General features: G+C 43.5%; 1 protein-coding gene across 10 annotated transcripts in view; it reads right to left on the reverse strand.

Annotated features, from left to right (window-relative positions):
* Nucleotides 1–9,273: 9,273 nt before the first annotated feature.
* Nucleotides 9,274–24,943, reverse strand: part of ETF1 (eukaryotic translation termination factor 1) — a 37,142-nt gene continuing 21,472 nt past the window's right edge. For 8 of the 10 annotated variants that reach the window (NM_004730.4, NM_001291975.2, NM_001364160.2 and 5 more), the window contains 9 exons: nucleotides 21,871–22,046; nucleotides 20,740–20,879; nucleotides 16,747–16,885; nucleotides 15,943–16,133; nucleotides 14,654–14,783; nucleotides 14,224–14,379; nucleotides 13,744–13,808; nucleotides 11,848–11,995; nucleotides 9,274–11,566 (listed from right to left, as the gene is read on the reverse strand). In NM_004730.4, coding sequence (NP_004721.1) covers nucleotides 11,484–11,566; nucleotides 11,848–11,995; nucleotides 13,744–13,808; nucleotides 14,224–14,379; nucleotides 14,654–14,783; nucleotides 15,943–16,133; nucleotides 16,747–16,885; nucleotides 20,740–20,879; nucleotides 21,871–22,046 — 1,228 coding nt within the window. In that variant the 3' untranslated portion in view covers nucleotides 9,274–11,483. The remainder of the gene's footprint in view (nucleotides 11,567–11,847; nucleotides 11,996–13,743; nucleotides 13,809–14,223; nucleotides 14,380–14,653; nucleotides 14,784–15,942; nucleotides 16,134–16,746; nucleotides 16,886–20,739; nucleotides 20,880–21,870; nucleotides 22,047–24,943) is intronic. The other 2 variants (NR_157090.2, XM_047416932.1) reach the window with 2 other exon arrangements.

Genomic DNA, 24,943 nt, shown 5'->3' on the forward strand with positions numbered 1-24,943 from the left:
TGGCCAGGCTGGTCTCGAACTCCTGACCTCAAGCAATCTGCCTGCCTCAGCCTCCCAAAGTGCTGGGATTACAGGCACAAGCCACTGCACCCAGCTTCACTTTAATGTTTAATATTAGAAGTTGGTGGGGCATGGTGGTTCATGCCTGTAATCCTGGTGTTTTGCAGGGCCAAGGCAGGAGGATCACTTGAGACCAGGAGTTCAAAACCAGTCTGGGCAACAGTGAGACCCCAACTCTATTAAAAATTAAAAAAAAATTAGCTGGGCATGGTGGCACACACCTATAGTACAGGCTACTCAGGAGGCTGAGGTGGGAGGTTTGCTTGAGCCCAGTAGGTAGAGTATGCAGTGAGCCATGATCCTGTCACTGTATGCCAGCCTGGGCAACAGAAAGAGACTCTGTCTCAAAAAAAGATCAAACAAATAAACATACTACAACGTAACATAAATCAAAACAATGTGGTACTGGTATAATAAAGTTAGAAATACAAACCTATATATCTATATCAGTTGTATATGGGATTATTATACCATACCCAGTTGGCCATAGGTATATGGGATTATTTCTGAGTTCAGAAGTAATTCAGAGAGTTCAGAGTTCAGAAATAATCCCATATACCTATGGTCAACTGATTTTCTCCAAGGGAGCAAAGAGCATTAAATGGGGGAAATAATAGTTTCATCAACAAAATGGTGCTTGCACAACTTTTTTTTTTTTTTTTTTTTTTTTTTTTTTTTTTGAGACAGGGTCTTGCTCTGTCACTCAGGCTGGAGTGCAGTGGCAGCACCATGGCTCACTGCAGCCTTGACTTCCGAAGCTTAAGTGATCTTCCCACGACAGCCTCCCCAGTAGCTGGGACCACAGGTGAGTGCCACCACATCCAGCTAACTTTTTTGTAGAGATGGGGTCTCCCTATGTTGTCCAGGCTGGTCTTGAACTCCTGGGCTCAAGTGATCCTTTTGCCTTGGGCTCTCAATGTGTTGGGATTACAGGTGTGAGCCACAATGCCCAACCCCACAACAACTAGATACTCACATGCAAAAGTATGATGTCAGACCCCTGACCTCATACCATATGCAAAAACTAACTCAAAATGGGCCAGTGACACATAATAGATAGGGTCTTGCTCTGTCATCCATGCTGGAGTGAGATGGCACAGTCATAGCTTATTGCAACCTCAAACTCATGGGCTCAAACAATCCTCCTGCTTCAGCCTCCCAAGCAGCTATGACTACAGGTGTGCACCACCACACCCAGCTAATTTTTAAATTTTTTGTAGAGTTGAGGTCTTGCTATGTTGCCCAGGCTGGCCTTGAACTCCTGGCTTCAAACCATCTTCCTGCCTTGGCCTATCAATGTGCTGGGATTATAGGCAGAAGCCACTGTGCCTGGGCTAAAACTCTAAGAGAAGAAAACATGGGTAAATCATGACCTTGGATTTGGCAAACAACAGATATGGCAACAACAGAAAAACAGATAAATTGAACTTCACCAAAATTAGTTTTGTGCATCAGAAGACATTATCAAGAAAGTGAAAATACTTGCAAATAATATATCTAATAAGGGTTTGGTATCTAGAGTATAAAGAACTGTTATAACTCAACAAGATAAACCAATTCAAGATGGGCGAAGGAGTTGAATAGACATTTCTCCAAAGATATACAGTATCAACCCACGAGAAACAAAAAACATATATTCACACAAAGACTAGTATGTGAATGTTCATAGCAGCATTATTCAAACAGCTAAAAACTGGACACCGTCCAAATATCCACCAGTGGAAGAGATAAACAAAATGCGGTATATTCATACAATGGAATACTACTTTTGTGCTGTTTTACCCACAACACTTCTGACACCAAATGTGTGGAGTTTTGTTCCCACATCAACCTATTCTCCAACTCTCCAGACACAACTTGGTGTCCTACAATTCAACTCAATTCTGACACTAATACCCTAAGTTAACAGACCCCACAGATTAAGGGTTCAGTTCCATAAGACTGCCCCAATATTAGATGCCAGTCACAAGTTACCACCTGTACTTCTGACTAACTGGCTGTAAGGGGTTCCCATGACCCCCTCTTCAAGTTTGATAATTTGCTAGAACAGCTCACAGAACTCAGGAAAAATCTACACATTATGGTAGGTTATTATAAAGGATACAACTCAACAGAACAGATGCATAGGGCAAGGTATGGGTGCAGAGCTTTCATCCCCTCTCTGGGCATGCTACCCTCCCAGCACTTCAATGTGTTCACCAACCTGGAAGCTTCCTGAACCCCATCATTTAGGGGGTTTTATGGAGGTCTCATTATATAGGGATGATTGATAAAATCATTGGCCATCAGTGATTAAGTCAACCTCCAGCCCCTTTCCGCTCTCTGGAGGTGGGAGGCAGGTGCTGAAAGCTGCACTTTTTTTTTTTTTTTTTTTTTTTTTTTTTTGGAGACAGGTCTAGCTCTGTTGCCCAGGCTGGAATGCAGTGGAGTGATCTTGGCTCACTGCAGCTTCTGCCTCCCAGGTTCAAGCGATTCTCCTGCCTCAGCCTCCTGAGTAGCTGGGATTACAGGCATATGCCACCAGGCCCAGCTAATGTTTTTTTGTATTTTTAGTAGAGACAGGATTTCACCATGTTAGTCAGGCTGGTCTTGAACTCCTAACCTCAAATGATCTGCCCGCCTTGGCCTCCCAAAGTGCTGGGATTACAGGCATGAGGCACCGCGCCTGGCCCAAAAGCTCTACTCTCTAATCACGTTTTGGTCGTTCTGGTGACCAGTCCCCATCCTGAAGCTACCTAGGGGCCCCCAGTCATCAGTAATCATATTAGCATAGAAAAGACACTCTCATCACTCTGGAGATTCCATGGGTTTTAGGAGCTGCATGCCAGGAAAGGAGTGGAGCAAAGACCTGTATATGTATTTCTTATTGTATCATACTACTCAACAATAAAAATGAACATGCAACAGGCTGGGCATGGTGACTCACACCTGTAATCCTAGCACTGGGAGGCTGAGGCGGGAGGATCACTTAGAGCTAGGAGTTCAAGACCACCCTGAGCAACATAAGGAGACCCCATCTCTATAAAAAATATATATATATACAAAAAATAGCCTGACATGGTGGTGTAATCCCAGCTACTTGGGAGGCTGAGGCGAGAGAATCACTTGAGCTCAGGAGATCAAGGCTGCAGTGAGCTGTTATTGAGCCACTGCACTCCAGCCTAGGTGACAGAGTGAGACTCCATCTCAAAAAAAAAAAAAAGAAAGAAAGATAGGATAGATGTATCTCAAAAATTTATCTAAATGAAAGAAGCTTCACATAAAAGACTACATGTTGTGCTTTTCCATTAATATAAAAATTTCTAGGAAGGCCAGAACTGTAGAGGTAGAAAGCAGATCAGTAGCAGCTGGGCGTGGTGGCTAATGCCTATAATCCCAGCACTTTGGGAGGCCAAGGTGGGCAGATAACATGAGGCCAGGAGTTTGAGACCAGCCTGGCCAACATGGTGAAACCTCGTCTCTACTAAAAATAGCAAAATTAGCTGGGCGTGGTGGCAGGCACCTATAGTCCTAGTTACTCAGGAGGCTGAGGCATAAGAATTGCTTGAACCCGGGAGGCGGAGGTTTCAGTGAGCTGAGATCGCGCCACTGCACTCCAGCCTGGGCGACAGAGCAAGGCTCTGTCTCCAAAAATAAAAAATAAAAAAAAAACAAAGCAAGTAGATTGATCAGTAGTTGCCCAGGGTTGGATGTGGGAACAGAGATTGACTGCAAAAGAGCACAAATAATCTTTTTGGGATGCTGAACATTAAGTTGTGAGTTGTGGGATGTTTACATAACTATACAAATTTACTTTTTTTTTTTTTTTTTTGAGACAGAGTCTCACTGTCACCCAGGCTGGAGTGCAGTGGTGGGATCTTGGCTCACTGCAGCCTCCACCTTCCGGGATCAAGATATTAGAGGCCAGGCGTGTAGGCCTGGCCTACACACATTTACTTTTAAAAATAAATAGCCAAACTATACCTACAGTGGGTTAATTTTATAGTTTGTAAATTATACCTCAATAAAGCTGTTAATAAACAAACCACAGAAATGACAGCAGGATGAAAAAACCAGTGTCCTAGCCGGGCACGGTGGCTCACACCTGTAATCTCAGCACTTTAGGAGTCCAAGGCGGGCGGATCACGAGGTCAGGAGATCGAGACCATTCTGGCCAACATGGTGAAACCCTGTCTCTACTAAAAATACAAAAATTAGCCAGGTGTGATGGCGCACGCCTGTAGTCCCAGATACTCGGGAGGCTGAGGCAGGAGAATCACTTGAACCCAGGAGGTGGAGGTTGCAGTGAGCCGAGGGCACGCCACTGCACTCCAGCCTGGCAACACAGAGAGACTCTGTCTCAAAAAAAAAAAAAAAAAAAAAAAAAAAAAAAAAAAAAAAGAAAGAAAGAAAAAGAAAAAAGAAAAGAAAAGAAAAGAAAAGAAAAAACAGTGTCCTGAAATCTGAATGTCTTCCTGGCCTTTGGATCCAGTCAGGACTGATCCACGTGCCTCTCCAAACTCACCCTCTCATCTCTCCAGCTAACCCAGGTCCCCACATAGACCTAGCACCCCCAGAGGAGGAAGGAGCCACCCTGCACTCCCCTTGTCCTTTAACACTCATTGTCATTCCTTGTTCAGAGTCTCCACTGCTGGACCTTCAACACCGAAGGGCAGGGTGTGCACCTGCACTGTTTGCCACTGAATCTTGCACGGGACCTAGTACACGGGACATGTCTAAATGCTTGCTGAGTCAAGGAATGAGACTGGCTTAACCCAAGTCTCATTTAAGGAATAGAGGTGGCCGTGGAGTGCGTCTGTGGAGAAGGCTGGAGGAGACTGGGGTAGAACTCCTTCCATGTTACCTTTCAGAATCAGAGCCCGACAGGGGTGCAAGGGAGGGCCTCTAGCCCTGAGCACAGAAATTCGTCTTTATCTGGAGGAGCAACTCTCTCCCAGGCAACATCCTGCCTTATTACAAAGAGTCCCCCTCTGCAGGCCCTCCAGGCCCACCCCAGCTGGCTCATGTTGCCTTTCCCCACCAGAGAGCCTAGGCTGGGCATGTCTTTGGGTCTGGACAGTAATACAACATGGGGCAGAGGGTCCTGGCATCATCAAGCCCTGATTTCTCCTCATGCCTTCTCCCAGGAATCGGAATATCTCTGCATCTTTGCCTCTCAGAAGATCCTTGCCATTCCTGCTCGGAGCCTTTCTCTCAAGTTTCCACCCTCCTTCCTTATTCTCCTGGCTTCCTTGGAAATGGGTTTGCCCTCTAGCTTTGAGTGGGGATGGACAGGCAAGCAGAAGGGGCTAAGCCTAGGTATAGTATCTCAGCAGAGTGGGAGGAGCTGGAAGTCTGTGGCAGTCAGGGAGAGCTAGATGGGGCTAATTTGGAAGGCCGGGGGCTGAAGAAGCAAGTTGATCCACACACCCAAGCCAACCTTGACTCACAGGGAAGTGACTTCAAACAGCTTTCATAACTCCATCTGGATGTTGGCCACCTTTCCTCTCCTAGCTCTTTGGTTTCAGGCCACGTGCTCCCTCCAATTGTCCCTTCTCTCATTTATAACATTAGAGAGAACAGGGCCTGGATGAAGAATAACAAGATCATCCGGCTGTTAAGAGCACCGAATCTGGAGTTGGAGCAAGTGTTCATGTTGGCTCTGCTAATTTGCTGCATGAGCCTGACAGGTCACTATATTCCTCTCTGGCCTCAGCTTTCTTCTGTCTTTAGTGAGGGGATTGGAATAGGTAAGGTGCAAGACCCTTTCTAGTGCTAAAATTAAGGGGCCCGGCACAGTGGCACACACCTGGAATTCCAACACTTTGGGAGACAGAGGCGGGCCAATCACTTGAGCTCAGGAATTCAAGACCAGCCTGGGGAGGCTGGGCACAGTGGCTCACGCTTGTAATCCCAGCACTTTGGGAGGCTGAGGCGGGCGGATCACAAGGTCGGGAGATCAACACCATCCTGGCTAACACGGCGAAACCCTGCCTCTACTAAAAAAACAAAAACAAAAAATTAGCCGGGCGTGGTGGCTGGCGTCTGTGGTCCCAGCTACTCAGGAGGCTGAGGCAGGAGAATGGCATGAACCTGGGAGGCAGAGCTTGCAGTGAGCCGAGATCGCACCCCTGCACTCCAGTCTGGGTGACAGAGCAAGACTCCATCTCAAAAAAAAAAAAACACCCAGGCTGGGCAACATGGCGAAACCTCATCTCTACAAAAACAACAAAAAACCAAAAATTAGCCAGGTGTGGTGGTGTGTGCCTGCAGTCCCAGCTACTCGGGAGGCTGAGGTGGGAGGATCGCTTGATCCTGGGAGGTTGAGGCTGTAGTGAGCCAAGACTGCACCACTGCATTCCAGCTTGGGTGACAGAGTAAGACCCTGTCTCAAAAAAAAAAAAAAAAATTAGGTGCTAAAATTATAATTCCTTAAGAAGTCTAAGTATTGGGTATTGTGGAGAAAAGCTATATAAAGGTATGGCTGTAGACTAAGGACTAGAGTCGAATGAGACTCTTTCTGAGAGTCCTTTCTGAGAATGGGCTTGACATTCCCAGGTACAGCTTTGCCTTCTTCTCATCACTTCCAGGATTGCTCACCTACTTGGGGCCAAGGGCCCCCCAGGAAGCCCTTCTTCATGCTGTTTTATTTCACTCTGTAGGGATGACCTGCATTTGCACTGGCTTTGGAACCAAACAGACCTGACTTTGAGTCCCAGATTTTGCCACTTAGTAGAACGTGGATGGGAAGATATAAACAGCATCTCCCTCACTACGTTTTTCTAAGGATTACATAACTGTTCAACAAATGTCAGTGACTATAGTTACTTCACAGACGGATAGCTCAAAGCCCAGAATAAGGAGTAAGAAAACTGGGCAGAGCTGGATTGAGACTCCTGGGATCTCCTCTCCGTTCACTCATCCCTACTCCTTTGTTAAACTGCCCTCTCCACTTTCCTAAAATTTAAGGGCAAAGCAAGTTGTCCCAGGCACCTCTTAATGCTTGTCAGAAATCCCCCCTACTTCAGATGAAGCAAATTTCTTCCAGTCAGCATCCTTAACTCTATACCACCACCTTGTGGTCACCAGCACAAACTTTCCCTGGCCACTTCCAGAGGACCAAGGTTGGGAGAGGAAGAACCATGAGTAGCTGCCATCCCAGTCCTTGCTAAGTGCCTTCATGTGCCTTACTCCATTTAATCCTTATTACAGGTGGTGAAACTGCTACTCAAAGACATGGAATAATTTGCCAGCCTCTCAGGTGGCGCCAGGATTTCTACCTCAGACCTCAGAGATCCTGCTTCCTACTGCACTCTCCTGATAGCTTCCTGGGAAGCTGGCTGGCACGGCACTTCAGATTCAGGGACTGCCTGATACTGTGAAGTCACAAACCCAGTTAACTGCAGAGCCAGAGCCTTTTTTTCTTTTTTTCGAGACAGTCTCTCTGTCGCCCAGGCTGGAGTGCAGTGGTGCCATCTCGTCTCACTGCAACCTCTGCCTCCCAGGTTCAAGCAATTCTTGTGCCTCAGCCTCCTGAGTAGCTGGGATTACAGGCGCCCACCACCTGTTCGGCTAGTTTTTGTAATTTCAGTAGAGACGGGGTTTCACCATGTTGGTCAGGCTGGTCTTGAACTCCTGACCTCGGGTGATCCACCTGCCTTGGCCTCCTGAAGTGTTGGGTTTACAGGCGTGAGCCATGGTGCCCAGCAGAACCAGAGCTTTTCTTGACTCCCTTGTTTGGTTCTGGGCTCTTAGCTAAGCCCCAGGTAAGCCTGCCAGTTTCAGGGAAGGACTCCTGGAGATGGCTGTATCTGAAACAGAATTCACCAGACAGGGTTTTAGACTTGATTTACAGAGAACCCTTTAGGTGGTGAATTGTTTTCACCTGTTATTTCTAGTGCCTGCTATTCAGCCACATCCTCAGCAACTTGCAGCACCCAAACTGCCACAAAACAAGCAAGTAACTGTGCCCTGCTTCCCTAGCTCTAATCGGATGCTCCCACACCACTTGGCTGTTCAGTTCCTAGGTCCCCTGAGACCCAGTCCCATCAGGGCTGGACTTGGCAGGCAGGAATCCCCTGGCATTCACTCAAGCTGGCAACAAAGGAGAAGCTGGCATGAAACTTAAATTCCACCTTGGCTCTCAGCCCTAAATCCACCGTGCCTGTCTGGGAGTGTCATGGCATGCGTCTTGGAGCCAGAGAACAAAAGATGGCAAGTGCTGCAGGCCCAGACAGGCAAGGACCACAGCCCATATATCCTGCACCACTGTGCTGCCTTCCAACAATTTTGTCTTCAAGAACAGCACCTAGACACGCATTAGGAGGGAAAATTACACTTCCACCAGCACAGGCATGTTCGCCCCTTCCCAGCTGGTAATTGAGTTTCGTCGTCAGAGCTATCACCTAGATCAGGTAAGAAAATGGGTGAAAAGTACGCCAAGTGCCATTACTGGTCAATTTTACTTAAAACAGTTTTCTCAAACCTGGAGAAAGCAAACCATGCACCACCTTGGCTCCTCAACTAGGCTTCCTAAACTACCAAAGAGGCTCTTTAAGCACCTCAACCTTGGGGGAAAACAAAGAAAACAAATCCTCTTCTGCTCTGAACCTGGCCTAGGAGCCCTGCTCCTCTGGACCAGCCCCTGACCTGCTTTTGGGTGGGCTACTACTCTCCTACCCAGTGTAAGGTATGTAAGATGAAGGAGCGTGGGAGAGAGAGAGGGCCCAGGCCTAGTTTCTGCTATTCCATCTGGACCATTCTATTATAGGACTCAAAGACAGATACAGAGAGAACTTTGGAATAAGGCCTGGGATAAAATTTTGGTGTTATCACTAAAGAGCTGCTACTTAACCTTCTTTTGTTCTGTTTCATCACCTGTAAAATTGGGTACACCATCTACCTCCATGGGATGCTGGGTTATGGGATAATATACTTAACATACCTTAAAAAAAAAAAAAAGCAAGATTCCCTTTGGCATGCATATAGAATGGGGGAGAATACAAATTAGTTTGGCCCCAGCAACCTGAACCTTCTTCTTCTAGCATAACTCTGGGATCATGACCTCAGAAAAACTTTGCATATACCTTTCCATAGACAAATGTAGTAAACACAACTCAAACCCAAGGCTGAAATGCTATTGGCCGTGACTAATCTGAGGTATGCCTTGGAGAACTGTCTCCACAGTTCAGGCCTTTCTAGACCAGTCCTAAAAAATCTCAAGCACACAAAGTATATTCTTAAATATGGTTTAATACTCTTCTCCATTTCTGTACATCACAACACCAAGATTTTGCTGCTTAGTATCTCTCTGCAGAGGCTATAGAGAATGCAAAGGCTACGGTTTTCACCCCCTCTTATATGTGTTTGTATGTGTAAGTGTAATACATATCAATATATATTGATACACACATCAATATATAATGCAATATATATCACCGAAGAGAACACATTGATTAAAGAAATACAAAAATTTGGCATCATTTCCAAACTTAAATAGTAAAAATAAAAACTACAAAAGGAGCTGCATACCCTAAATGTATCATGTGAAACAACAAGCATATTCAAAAATGTAAATTTACATCCAATTTCTCTGGTCTTGTCATATCACATCAGACCCATTTACAATGGCAAAACCCTAAGGTACTGCTGTGAAGAGAGCATGTTTGCTCGCTCTTGGGTGTTCTGCAAACAAATAGCAGAGCCCAAAGCAAAAAAGCCTGTTCCGGTGAAGTCTCCCACGTTGGTGAACACCAAATAATGGACTCTTCTCACAGGGGGTTGAGACATCAGGTTACACATTGACAGACAGTATTTGGACCTCAGAGTACAGTGTGAGAACCAGAAACTTTACATTTAAGACATACTCCCTTCATTCAAGTGAAACAGGATTATTGGAACGATAGGCAGGTCTGTAACCTGGGAACAAGGAGCTGGTTCAGACCAATAAAGCTACGAGTGACTGAATCAAGTCAGTAAAGAACAGCAGTCAGGCACTAAAGTGTTAAAAGTACCCAATTTGAAAACCAAATGCACCCCACTACCCTAGTCAGTGTGGAGGTGATACCAATTGACTTTTAAAACCTTTGGTCCTTCAAAGTCCATTTGGTATACTTTTTTCCATCGCTACCACTGGGCACGTACTATACACTTTGTTCAACTGTCACCACCCTGGGCACGCCATGACCTTGCATATCAGCTGGGTTCAAGTCTGACTTACAGCCCAGCTGTGAAGCATAAGCTTCAGGGTTTCAGGCCAACTTTTGGATCCAACATGGTCTTAAATCCATGGTGCCAGAAGCTGTGTCCCATCCCTTCCCACCCGCCCCTAATTTCTCATGTGAGAAGTGCTTGTAAGTCCCACATTTGAAACAGATGCTCCAACCCCACCAGGAGGTCAGGAGTTTATAATTACATGCAGTCATACATGTCTGTCGTTCCTGTGAAAAACCTTGCAGTTCATTTTAATAAATCAAAACATTCACATAATCTCATGCCATCCAACACAAGGAAAACACATCCACCTCCCTTTTAACAAGGATTGACCCAAGCAAAATAAAATCCTCTTTAAATTTCTTCGCTTCCACTTAAATTGCATGTTTTATTTCTCCCAATCCCAGCAATAGCACAGAAGCCCCATCATATCCATCCCAAACCGGTTTCGAGTAGGTTAAGGTTATAGGGACCCTTGTCAGAACATTGATACAAAGGGCTCCCAAACGCCGGGCACAAATGTGTCTGCAAACAGATGGAAGTAAACAGTGCACTGGCCCAAATGCTTCATGAGTCAGTTTGATTTTGCAATGCAATTTGCATCCTTGAAACTGCCAGTCTGGAGGGGGACGGGGTAGCGTGAGGGAGTGAAGTTGAAAGTGCCTCCTATTAGCTCACCCTTTCAACATTAAACAGAGACCAAGAGAGAAATGGTTCCAACATTTCACCACATATATTTCTTCTTACGCAGTCTAAGCTGAGAATGCCATGTAAATGGGTCACTGCGAAATGCAGCAATTTAATTTTTCTCCAATCAAAATAAGAAACAAACCAGTATGATCTCACTTCTATTAACTTTTGAAGGTTTACAGCAGTTAAAGTATTTTTGCTTCTATGTATGAAGGTTAAAAAAATCATTTTTTTTCATAAAATACAAGAGCAACCAATTTCACCATCCAGTAAAAGTAAAAACTGGGATTCTTTTTTAAATTAGTCCAAAGTGGCGTTTAGGAACTTAGTTGTAGGCTGCTGCGCTGACACCATGACAAACCAAAGTGTAGGGCTGGGTCTGGTTTTGTTTCGGTTTTCTTTTCAATATCCAATGCTCATGGATTAAGTTCTGGAAATGTTCCAATTGTAAGGCAGGGATCTGTTTGGATTCCACCATGGGTATGCTCCTTGGGTTGGATGCTGGAGGGTGAGGCACGTTTTGCCGGACCCATGTCGACTACCTAGTAGTCATCAAGGTCAAAAAATTCATCGTCTCCTCCTTGGTATTCCATTCCCTGGAAATCTACTCGGTACCGCAAGATACCTGGGGAAACAAACCAAAAGGTAAATTACCTGTGTTCATGGGATGGGCATGTGTGTAGGTGGCTGGTAAGGGAATAAGGGAAGCCCTATTCTCTTGCAGAATTGCAGAAAGCAAAGAGGTAATAATAAACATGGGTCCAAATTAGGAACCTGCACCTGCTGCGTCAATCACCTATCCCAGCAGATAATAAGCACCTCACCGGAAGCAGGGCTAGGGCTAGCCAGGAGGGACCTTGACCTGAGACCCTGGTTTTAAGTTTGGTTTGCTGATTTGCTACTCACCTCCAATTCCACCAAATCCTTTCACAAACTGAGACCCTTCTTGTGATTTATCTGTGACAATTTCCAACGTAGCTCCAAATTTTTTATAGTTGTTAGCAAACCATTCCAACAGGGGCATGCTCTCGATAAGCTCATGTTCCTGTCCGGTCTACAGGGATGACCATGAGATACAAAAATGGGGGATTAGGATATATGAAGGCTAATTAGTCCCTCTCACAGCCCCTTGCCCACCTATCACTCTCATCCTCCCATTTATAGGCATGTCTGTGTGTAAAGCTCTGTAAGTCATCTCTGGTTTTGATAACCTAATGGATATCAGCAGAGAAATTCGGATTATTTCAAACAACACTTCTCCTCAGGCTCTACCCTCAGCTATGAAATACCAACACAAAAACTCAGTGGGTATTCAGCTTATGATTCCTACTGTTGACTCTAGAAGTCAGGCTGTTGTAGTGTCTCTAAGCAGCACCCATTCAATGGCTCAGAAGAGACATTCCAGGACTGCTTTTGGGAGTGGCCTCGTAGAGAACAAAGCTCTCCAAACCAGAATTTGAGGAAGCTATCATTTAAACCTATCTCATACGGGAGGGTCATACTTTCAACTGTTGTGATGCACTTAGAGCAAACCAGAGAAGCCACTGCAGTGGAAGAGCTGATCAAGTGAAGAAAGCAGCACAGGTTTCACAGTGCAGGAGAGGCATTATGTAAATTACATTTTCCTCCCTATTAAATTTCAAGGATAATGAAATGTTTTCCTGATTGCTTAACTACTTAAAAACAAAGACAAAAACAAACAAACAAACAAAAACCAGGCCAGGCATGGTGGGTCACGTCTGTAATCTCACCACTCTGGAAAACCAATGTAGGAGGATCACTTGGGCCCAGGAGTTCAAGACCAGCCTGGTGAACACAGCAAGACCCCATTTCTATAAAAAAAATTAGGCTGCCTGGCATGGTGGCTCACGCCTGTAATCCCAGCATTTTGGGAGGCTAAGGCAGGTGGATCACCTGAGGTCAGGAGTTCGAGACCAGCCTGGCCAACATGATGAAACCCAGTCTCTACTAAAAATACAAAAATTAGTCAGGCGTGGTGGCGGGCGCCTGTAGTCCCATCTACTCGGGAGGCTGAGGCAGGAGAATTGCTTGAACTCGGGAGGTGGAGGTTGCAGTGAGCCGAGATCACACCACTGCACTCCAGCCTGGGTGACAAGAGCAAACTCCACCTCAAAAAAAAAAAAAAAAAAAAAAGGGAATGAGGGCTTGTGCCTGTACTCCTGGCTACTCAGTAGACTGAGGCAGAAGGATTGCCTGAGCCCAGGGGTTCGAGGTTATAGTGAGCTATGATTGTGCCACTGAATCCAGCCTGGGTGACAGACCAGGACCCTATCTCAAAGAAAAAAAAAAAAAGACCGGTCATGGTGGCTCACACCTGTAATCCCACCACTTGGGAGGCCGAGGTAAGTGGATTGCTTGAGCTCAGGAGTTTGAGACCAGCCCAGGGCAACATGGTGAAAACGCCTCTCTACAAAAAATTCAAAAATTAGTTGGGCGTGGTGGTGTATGCCTGTAGTCCCAGCTACCAGAGAGGCTGAGGCAAGAGGATCACTTGAGCCCAGGAGGTGGAGGTTGCAGCGAGCCGAGATCATGCCACTGCACTCCAGCTTGGGCAACAGAGCAAGACCTTGTCTCAAAAAAAAAAAAAAAAAAAAAAAAAAAAAAAGCTGCAGCTCCTTCCCTGAAATCAGATTCGTATGTGGCAGATAGATGACCACCTCCCACAGCACCCCCAATTAGTATAAGGTTTGGTTTCCCAAAGCTCACCCTCTACACAGCCAGTACTCTAACACACGGATTTACGCTTGCACGTATCATCAAACCAAGAAAATAATCACATACCTCTTTGTCTGTGAAATGAGATTTATCCTTTTCTTGCTCTGGAGTTAGATAGAGAATTTTCTCCTCTGTAGTATTAGGAGGAAAAAATGTGTTAACCTGGCTCTCATATACTAATCTGTGTAAGCTCCATAAGATGAGGTTAGATGAGAAAAGGGCTCAGGGACTCAATCTCTCAACATTTTTTCCATAAACATGTTAGCATACACTGAGTGTCTACTAGGTACAATGCTTCAACCATAAGGAACATCAGAGATGTTCAAGATATAGTCCTGGTCCTCAGCAGATGTAACAATCTTAAGCAGACGTTAAACAGTTCAAGCAGAAAAATCTATGCAGGAATGTGCTACAGACTGAAGGACTGGGGAACAATGGGTAGATCTACCTTCTGATTGCTCCTGAAATCAGCCATCCCTCCCAAATCTCCACCCCAGGCTTCCTGGCTCAGTAACAAATAGCAACCTTATTTTCTAATTCTCATACCTTCTGTGCCTTGGCAATGAAGAACATATCTCATTATATCCAGATTTTCATAGACTATTAGAATTTCTACAGCTCCCATTTCCAAAGCCTTTAGTGTATCTTCAACGCCAAAACAGTACTTGCCCGTGTCCTGGCTGATTTCATCAAAGTATCGTCCTACGATTAGGGATCAGTCAACAGGATATATATTAAAGTTTCCCTAGTAGATACAAACACACCTATTCGACCTAATGACTAAAGAAGATAAAAAATAATGCTTTTACTGAGGCAAAAGAGTTAATAAAAATACTAAATATTCCTTTTTACATTTTTGGTACCTTGTCTCATACATACAATCACGTACATACACACACACACATACACACACACACACACACACACACACACACGAAAACATTTCACAGAATAAGTAGTTGCATTTCACCGATACCTATTAATTTCTTCTCTTGAATGAATTTCACGTTGGAGAGGACTTCAGTAGATAACTCAATAGCTTGGTTGAATCCATTTTCACCACCATAGGATATATCAACTAATTTTAAAACTTTTGATTGTAACCTCTAACACACAAAAAAAATATTATTAGTACTTACTGGTACTTATTTAAAATATTATTAAAACACCTTTACTCAAACCCACTAACTCTTAATGGTATGCAAAGCTCAGCATTATGATCACTGAAGTCTAAATATGGGGAAGGAGCCCAATTTAATCAAAAGCTGCTCTTAAAGTGAACAGCACTGCCAATTATATCACACATTTTATTAGACCTACTATAGGACAACTCATTAAGTGCAAACAAAAATAAGTTATTGTGGAGGAAAGGGGGGACCACTGGCTCCTGCCAAATAAGGTAGTAGAGGTTAAGACGGGCTGGGGAGGGTGGCTCACACCTATAATCCCAGCACTTTGGGAAGCTAGGAGAGGCAGACAGCTTGAGTCCAGGAATTCTGAGACCAGCCTAGGCAACATGGTGAAACCCTGTCTCTACCAAAAAGTACAAAAATTAGTTGGGCATGGTGACACATCCCTGTAGTCCCAGCTACTTGGGAGGCTGAGCTGGGAGGATCACTTAAGCCTGGGAGATCGAGGCTGCAGTGAGCCATGATTGCCACTGCACTCCAGCCTAGGCAAGATAGCCAGACCCAGTCTCAAAAAAAAAAAAAAAAAAAAAAAAAAAAATATATATATATATATATATATATATATATATATTTTTTTTTTTTTTTAAAGGCAATTTCTTTGGTGGACCTTCTACCATAAGGCTACTTCCTCCAGATCTTGAAAGTGTATTATGGCTGAGCCCATGTTATAAAATGTGCTTTAAATGCTTTAGGCTGAATCAGCTGTCATACTGCTGAGAGCTTTGCTGCTATGTATCTCCAAGAATAAATCAGAAAAAGAAAATAAGGAACAGGTTTTAGTTTCTTTGAAATCAAACTCCATTCTACAGCCAATTCTGACAACCCAACTAAACAAGGAACCTCCACAGGATCCATAAGAAGCCCACCTAAAAATGGTTGATTTCAGAAGAGAAGGGGTTCAGAAAAGCACAGGGGAATGTTTCCTGATAAACATCTGTAAACCTGCTGTTTAACTCAGAGGCAAGTTTTTAACCCAAGGAATTTTAAAAAGATGTGTCTGTTCCAGTGCTCACACAGAGGACTCACCTACTCCTACCTAGGGTCTTACATAATAAAGCATCTACTTCTTACTTACCTGATCAAACATATCAGATTGACTTAGTTCAGTTTTAAAGTCAGCGGATCCAGCTAAAACTAGACCAGCCACATTCACTTTGTCCCCAGAAATAAACAGCTGCACAGCAGTCTCTGCTACTTTCCGAACATAGTTATGTCGCTTTTCCATTCTTAAACGGGCAAAACGCAAGGCTGACTGACCTCCTCTACCTTTGACACAAAAGTAGCAAGAGAAAAAGGCAATTATTAAGAACTACAAGATGTCTTCAAATTAAAAATAAAATAATCATGTCATCATCTAAGAAAAGGACAAAGAAAAATCACCATTCCCTTAACTAAACGTTCAGCATAAACTGCTACTTGTTTTCAGAGAGCGACTACTAAGTCTATGTCAAGAGAGGAGCTGTAAGTACCAATGAGGCACCAGTCATTACAGGAGGCTTCTCTCCCCATCATCTGGATTCACTCCCCTCACATCATACTGTTTTCTCTCTCTCTCTTTTTTGAGACAGAGTCTCACTCTGTCGCCCAGACTGGAGTGCAGTGGCGCAATCTTGGCTCAATGCAACCTCCGTCTCCCGGGTTCAAGCAATTCTCCTGCCTCAGCCTCACAAGTAGCTGGGATTACAGGCGCCCGTCACATTTTTGTATTTTTAGTAGAGACAGGGCCGGGCTGGTCTCGAACTTCTGACTTCGTGATCCACCCGGCTCGGCCTCCCAAAGTGCTGGGATTACAGGCGTGAGCCACCGCACCCGGCCCACCATACTGTTTTCTTATTGCTAGACACAAAGTAAGTGGGTTCATGTTCTCCTCCTGTATTACCGTGTTTCTTTGGGAGATCCACAGTGAATTTGTGCAGGACTTCTCTTGTGTTTCCTTGGAGTGTGCCAAAAAGTGCACCACTACCATCTATTACAATGAATCCAAACTTGCTATCATCTGAAAGTAGTGCTGTAAGAGCCTGAAAAGCAAACACAAGTACCACACGGTGAATCCCAAAGCTTTGCTAAGGTCAAAAAAACTCTGAAAGGATATATACAAGCCCTTTCACTCCACTCACCATGCTATTAGCACTGTGGGAAAACCTTCTACGGAATAATTTATAGACTTCAGTTATAAACATGTAACTCTTATGGACAAATTTGAACCCAATAAGGAAATAACGAATGATATCTATGTGAAGCTTTTCAACACATTTGACATGGGCATGTAAATATAAAACCAGAAAGATATCTGTATGCCCATGTTTATAGCAATATTACATACAGCAGTTAATACTACTCAATCTCAAAAAGGAAGAAAATTTTGAAACACACTACAACAGGGATGAAACTTGAATACATGCTAAGTGAAATAACCCTGTCAAAAAAGGACAAATACTGTATGACTCCACTTATATGAGGTTCCTGGAGTAATCAAAATCAGAGACAAAAAGTCAAATGGTGGTTGCCAGGGGCTGGAAAAAAGGGGGAACAAGGAATTATTGCTCAATGGATACAGTTTCAGTTTTATAATATAGAGTTCTAAGCTGGGTATGATGGCTCACACATGTAATCCCAGCACTATGGGAGGCTGTGGCAGGCAGATGGCTTGAGCTCAGGAGTTTGAGACTGGCCTGGGCAACATAGCGAAACACTGTCTCTACAAAAAAATACAAAAATTAGGTGGCTGTGGTGACACGTGCCTGTAGTCCCTACCAGCTACTTGGAAAGGCTTTAGTCTGGGAGGTGTAGGTTGCAGTGAGCCAAGATTGTGCCAGTGTACTCCAGCCTGGGTGATCCAGAGACCTTGTCTCAAAAAACAAAAAAACTTTAACTTGTTCCTTTTTTTTTTTTTTTTGAGACAGGGTCTCACTTTGCTGGCCAGGCTGGAGTGCAGTAGCCATCATAGCTCACTGCAGCCTCGAAGTCTTGGACTCAAATGATCCTTCTGCCTTAGCCTCCCAAAGTGCCGGGGTTACAGGCATGAGCCAGCATGTCTTTAAAGGTATTGCAGCTAATGATTCTGAGTTTTATGAGGAAAACCTTCCTTCTATGTTAACTTTATATCCCTTTATGCCTTCCCAAAGAGAAAATATTGAAACAGTCCTGGGACATACATAGATAAGAGTTCTCACAGTGGAATCGGAATACTACACACTTAGTTGATCTCTAATTGCCAGGGGACAATCTCTTTGGAAGTAAGAAATTGTTACCCATTCCATTTTATTTTTATAAACTGATCCTCCTCTTTGGCCTCCCAAAGTGCTGGGATTACATAGGTGTGAGCCACAACACCTGGCCTTACCATTCCATTTTAAGAAAATAGCCCCTTCAATAATTGACTAGAAAGCAGATGGATCAACTAAGAATCCATCTTTAACAAACCATGCTAGATAGTTGGCATTAAGACATGAATATTGTGGCCGGGCGTGGTGGCTCATGCCTGCAATGGCACTTTGAGAGGCCAAGGTGGGTGGATCACTCGAGGTCAGGAGTTTCAGACCAGCCTAGCCAACATGGTGAAATCTCATCTACTAAAAATACAAAAATTAGTTGGGCGTGGTGGTGCACACTTGTAATCCCAGCTACTCAGGAGGCTGAGGCAGGACAATCACTTGAATTCGGGAGGTGGAAGTTGCAAGGAGCCGAGATCGTGCCATTGCACTCCAGCCTGGGCAACAGAGCAAAACTCAATCTCAGAAAAAAGAAAAAGAAAAAGAAAAAAGACATGAATATGAATATTGCACGTTAATAATATAGCCTTATCAAAATGACCCGTTAGGTAGATTGAAGTTTTTAATAAATCTGCTTATCAGGGAATAGGCATATCCCTTATTAGAATATATAATTACCCTGATAAACAGGATATAACCCTCTCAGTTAAAGCTAAAATGTACAAAGTTAGCAAGATTAAACAGTATCTTAGAAAAGGAGTTAAGGTTTGGAAAAAAGCCAACAAGGCTAACTCAGTAAGTGAGCAAAAGCCAGACAACATGGGTACCTGGCACTGTTTAAATCAACAAGATTCAAAATCGGCTTTCATCCAACCAGATACAGGTAAGTGGTTTCAGTGGCTGAGAGGCTCCCTGAAAAACCCTCTGCTGTAAGTAGAGTGTGGTAGTGAAGAGAAAAACAGTCTGGATTGTCTATGCAGTCGACCAAGATCCAACTATAAATGGACTTCCCATCAAGTTAGCAAAAATCATCCACTGTAAACTGTCGACAAATGTCAGTTCTAATTCCACTGTAGAGGTTTTTCCCTAGGTTGATGAAAGGCAAGAGAATGAACTAAGGAGCCAGCTGTGAATTCTTGATTGTTCTACTGTTGACTGATTTAGGTCACTCTAATGAGGTTTCCTTTCCACTGTTCAAGTTCATCCTATGGCAGCTTTGTCACTCAAAAGTTTCAGGGGAAAGGGGGGAAAATGAGTTCTTACAGTTCTGCTACTAAAAATTTTACAATTGTTATGTGAAAACTGAGTGCAATAACTCAAAGAGTATAACTGGACTGCTTGTAACACAATGGATATACGCTTGAGGAAATGGGTACCCTATTTTCCATAGTGTGATAGCTCACATTGCATGCCTGTATCAAAACATCTCATGTACCCCATATACACCTACTATGTACCCACAAAAATCAAAACACACACACACACACACACTTTGGGAGGCTGAAGCGAGCAGATCACTTGAGGCCAGGAGTTTGGGACAGGCCTGGCCAACATGGCAAAACTCTGTCTCTACTAAAAAAACACAAAAAATTAGCCAGGCATGGTGGTGCACACCTGTAATCCCAGTTATTCAGGAGGCTTGAGGCACAAGAATCGCTTGAACCATGGAGATGGAGGTTGCAGTGGGCCAAGATTGCACCACTGCACTCTAGCCTGGGCGACAGTGTGAGACTCTGTCTCAAAACATGCTGAATGACTAGTGTCATAATAAATGTAAATTGCCTTACTTTTTGAAAACAGACAGCTTTGTAAAATGGTACAACGGTTTGGAAAACAGTCTAGCAACTTCTTAAAAAGTTAAACATAATTACTATATAACCTACACGATTCCACAAATCTAAGAAACATGAAAATGTATGGTCACATAGAAACTTGTCCATGAATGTTCACAGCAGCATTATTCAGAACAGCCAAACAGTGCAAACCACTCAAATGTAAAACTGATGAAACGAGAAGCTATATAAAATATGAAATATGGCATATAGGTATACAATGGAATACTACTTGGTAATCAAAAGGGATGAAATGTACTGATGAATGCTACCACATGGAACCTTAAAAGTATAAAGTAAAAGAAGCCAGTCACAAAAGGCCACAAACTATATGATTCCATTATATAAAATGTCCAGGCTGGGCGGGGTTGCTCATGCCTGTAATCCTAGTACTTTGGGAGGCTAAGGTGGGTGGATCACGAGGTCAGGAGTCTGAGACCAGCCTGACCAATGTGTTTAAACACCATCTCTACTAAAAATACAAAAAAATTAGCTGGGTGTGGTGGCATGTGCCTGCAATCCCAGCTACTCAGGAGGCTGAGACAGGAGAATCCCTTGAATCTGGGAGGCGGAGCTTGCAGTGAGCCGAGATCATACCACTGCACTCCAGCCTGGGAGACAGAGCGAGACTCCGTCTAAAAAAAAAATAAAAAAATAAAAATAAAAAAATAAAAATAAAAGAAGTACAGCACAAGCATATCTATGGAAAGAAAATATAGTGGTTGCCTAGAATGAGACAGGTAAGTGGGAGGGATGGGGGACTGACTGCTAATGGGTACGGGGAAAGAATTCTGGAGCGATGAAAATGTTCTGGGTTTGACTTCTTACCTCTGTATGGAATTTGTTGTCACACAAATACAATGACGTATTAATTGGTTTGAAAGGTTCAAAGTCAATGTTGACTTTCTTTTCCTTTCCTTCTTCTGTTACAATTGTTCCACAGTATACAACCAGACCATTTGGAGGTACTGCAAAGAACACAAACAATTTTTCTACTTTACCCCATATCTAGTTTTTCGTCAATTAATAGAAAATGTTCCCATAGCCTATTTTCCCTGCCTGATCCTTTAAGTCATAATTTAAATAAAGCAGAAAAAGCTTGAAATCTCTCAGGCAGAACTCTCTCCCTAATTTTAAAACTTCTTCTGAGACGTTTCAGTACGATTTATTCTTTAAAGTAAACAGGCTGGACGTGGTGGTGGCTCACGCCTGTAATCCCAGCACTCTGGGAGGCCGAGGTAGGCGGATCACCTGACGTCAGGAATTCAAGACCAACCTGGCCAACATGGTGAAACCCCATCTCTACGAAAAATACAAAAAGTAGCCAGGCGTGGTGATGGGCACCTGTAGTCCCAGCTACTCGAGAGGCTGAGACGGAAGAATCACTTCAACCTGGGAGGCTTGTGGTGAGCTGAGATCGGATTACTGCACTTCAGTCTCTGGGTGACAGAGCAAGACTCTGTCTCATCCCAAAAAAAAAAAAAAAAAAAAAAATTGAGACAACGCCTCACTCTGTCACTCAGGCTAGTGTGCAGCAGCGAGATCGTGGCTCACTGCAACTCCCACCTCCCGGGTCCAGTTGATTCTCTCGCCTCAGCCTCCAGAGTAGATGGGACTACAGGTGTGTGCCACCAGGCCTGGCTAACTTTTGTATTTTTTGTAGAGACAGGGTTTCACACCATGTTGTCCAGGCTGGTCTCGAACTCCTGACCTCAAGTGATCCACCTGCCTCAGCTTCCCAAAGTGCTGGGATTACAGGCATGAGCCACTGTGCCTGGCCTACTTAACTTTCAATAAACAAAAAACAAAACAAAACAAAAAAGCTAACCACCAAGGCCAAAGAGACACTGATGACAGCCGACTTAAGGGAACATTAGTGAACAAAGCACCATAGCAGCATCACAGTATAAAACATAACCAAAATGTGTAGAGAAGGAAAAGGAGCAAACTCCAGATTACCTTTGTTATAAAGTTTGAGTCTTTGTTGTACAGATGTAATGGCTCCCAGGACTGAAAGGCGGTTTACTCGTGACTTAATGTTAGATGCAGTTCCAAACTCATCCGCTAACATTTTTGCCACTCGTGAAATCTGGTCTTTGGGAGGAATGATCAATGATATCATGCTGGTGCCATTGCTGTGGAAGAAAGAATAACTCATTAGGGATTTAAATATCATGTAAGTAAACTCATGTTTCTCTCTGGTAAAAGCAAGCTACAGGGAGATGCCCCAAAGTTATGGAAACAGGTCACTCTCAAAGGAGTAATGTAGGGACTATATTAGTCTTGTTTATGAACGTATACACAGAGTTAGGAACAGTGTTCAGAATCTAGTGCTCAATTTGATTGAATAGTGAGGTAAGTTATGTAAAGAATACACTTGGAGAGATACTTGAGAAACACCTCATTTCCTAAAGAAAGAAGCTATCTATGATAAATAAGGAGTGTCAACAGGCTGGAATTTGGTAGTGAATCTGTCCGTGGGAGAGCCTTCAAATGTGGTGGTTGAGTGGGAGACGCCATGACAGGATGATGCAATGAGTCTTTCCAAAGTCTAGGCATATTTGTAATCAAGAATTTAGTATTCTAATGATGGGAAAGGAGAACTGTGGAAGTCACAGAAATGTCCCAGTTATGAAATCTCTCTCTCTCGGCCGGGCACGATGGCTCACGCTTATAATCCCAGCACTTTGGGAGGCCGAGGCGGGCGGATCACAAGGTCAGGAGTTCGAGGCAAGCCTGGCCAACAGAGTGAAACCTCGTCTCAATTAAAAAAAAAAAAAATTCGCTGGGCATGGTGGCAAGTGCCTGTAATCCCAGCTATTCAGGTGGCTGAGGCACGAGAATCACTTGAATCCGGGAGGCGGAGGTTGCAGTGAGCCGAGATCATGTCACTGCACTCCAGCCTGGGCGACAGAGCTAGACTTAGTCTCGAGAAAAAAAAAAAAAAATCTCTCTCTCACAAACTCATTCTCTTTAAATGGCAACATATTAATTGCATTTGAGTTTGATTAAAAGGAGGAATGACTGACAGCCTGATAAATTCTGGGTGCCCAACCAAACTCAAGTTTTTAGAACTAAAAAACGGGACCAAAATCTGACCTATGGAAGATTTTGGTTTTTTAACTTTTTAATAATAACAATGCTGATGTGTGTGAGATGTTGTCTCATTGCGGTTTTGATTTGGATTTCTCTGATTAATGATGTTGAGCATTTTTTTCATATGTTTATGGGGCACTTGTTAAATGCGTATCTCAAAATGTCAGAAAGATATCAAACTAATGATCCAATATCATACTTGGAAAACCAGAAACATAAGAGCAAACTAATTCCAAACCTAGCAAAAGAAAAGAACTAAAATCAGAGCAGAACTGAACAAAATTAAGACCCCAAAATCCAGGGAAATAATCAACTTAACCAGAAGTTGGTTTTTTGAAAGCATAAACAAGATTGATAAACCACTGTCTACATTAACAAAGAAAAAACGACAGAAGATCCAAATAAGTACAGTCAGAGATGACAAAGGTGACATTACAACTGATCTCACAGAAGTAGAATGATTCTGAGAGACCCTTATGAACACCTCCATACACATAAACTAGAAAATCTAAAGGAAATGGGTAAATACCATCAAGGCCCTGCCACATGGGAGGTCCCTTCTGAGCAGTTACCAACCCATTTTTAAGCCCCCTTTAAATTTCAACACCAATGCCAGTAACATATCTTTTTTGTCTACAACTTCCAAAGACACTTATCATCACTACCAGTCAAGAAATATCTCATCGGAAAATTCCTACTTCTATGCAAAGCAAACACAGTGGCTCACACCTGTAATCCCAGCACTTTGGGAGGCTAAGGTAGGAGGATCACTTGAGTCCAGGAGTTTGAGAACAGCCTGGGCAACATAATGAGGCCCCCATCTGTACAAAAAATAAATAATCAGCTGGGTGTCACGTGATGCAGGCCTGTAGCCCTAGCTATTCAGGAGGCTGAGGCAGGAATATCACTCAAGCCCAGGAGTTAGAAACTGCAGTGAGCTATGATTTGCCACTGCACTCCAGCCTGGGCAACAGTATAAGACTGTCTCAAAAAAGGAAGGAAGGAAACAAAGTGTTGGTGAGGATGTGGAGAAATTGGAACCCTTGTGCATTGCCAGTGGGAATATAAAATGGTACAGCCATGTGGGATAAGTGTGGTAGCTCTTCCAAAAAAAAAAATTTTTTTTTAACACCTAATTACCATATGATCTAGCCATTCTACTTTCAATTACATACCCAAGAGTGAGAGCGGGGACTTACACACCAATGTTCATAGCAGCATTATTCACAATAGCCTAGAGGTGGAAGCAACCCAAACATCCACTGGTGGATGAACAAATAAAAAAAAGTGGTGTGTGTGCACAATGAAATATTATTCAGTCTTAAAGGAAGGAAATTCTGACACACAAAATGGATGAACCTTGAACACATTATGCTAAGAAAAATAAGCCAGACAGAAAAGGACAAATACTGTATGATTCTGCTTACATGAGGTAACCTAGAATATTAAAGTTCATAGAGACAGAGAGTAGAAATGCAGTTGCCAGCAACTGGAGTAAGGTGGAACTAGGCAGTTGTTTAATAGTTGTTTTAGTTTTACAAGACGAAAAGTCCTAGAGACTGGCTGCACAACAGTGTGAATGTACTTAATACTGCTGAACTATACACTTGTAAATGGTTAAGATGGTAAACTTCATGTTATGTATTTTTTACAACGAAAAAAATTCTTAAAAATCAACTACTTAGTCCATTTATAACTTATTTATTTATTTTTTTTAGATGGAGTCTTGCTCTTGTTGCCCAGGCTGGAGTGCAGTGGCACCATCTCAGTTCACTGCAACCTCAGCCTCCTAGGTTCAAGCGATTCTCCTGCCTCAGCCTCCCAAGTAGCTGGGATTACAGGCTTGTGCCACCAGGCCCAGTTAATTTTCTTTGTATTTTTAGTAGAGACTGGGTTTCACCATGTTGGCCAGGCTGGTCTCGAACTCCCGGCCTCA

Source organism: Homo sapiens, chromosome 5, assembly GCF_000001405.40.
Source record: "Homo sapiens chromosome 5, GRCh38.p14 Primary Assembly".
Classification (NCBI taxonomy): domain Eukaryota; kingdom Metazoa; phylum Chordata; class Mammalia; order Primates; family Hominidae; genus Homo; species Homo sapiens.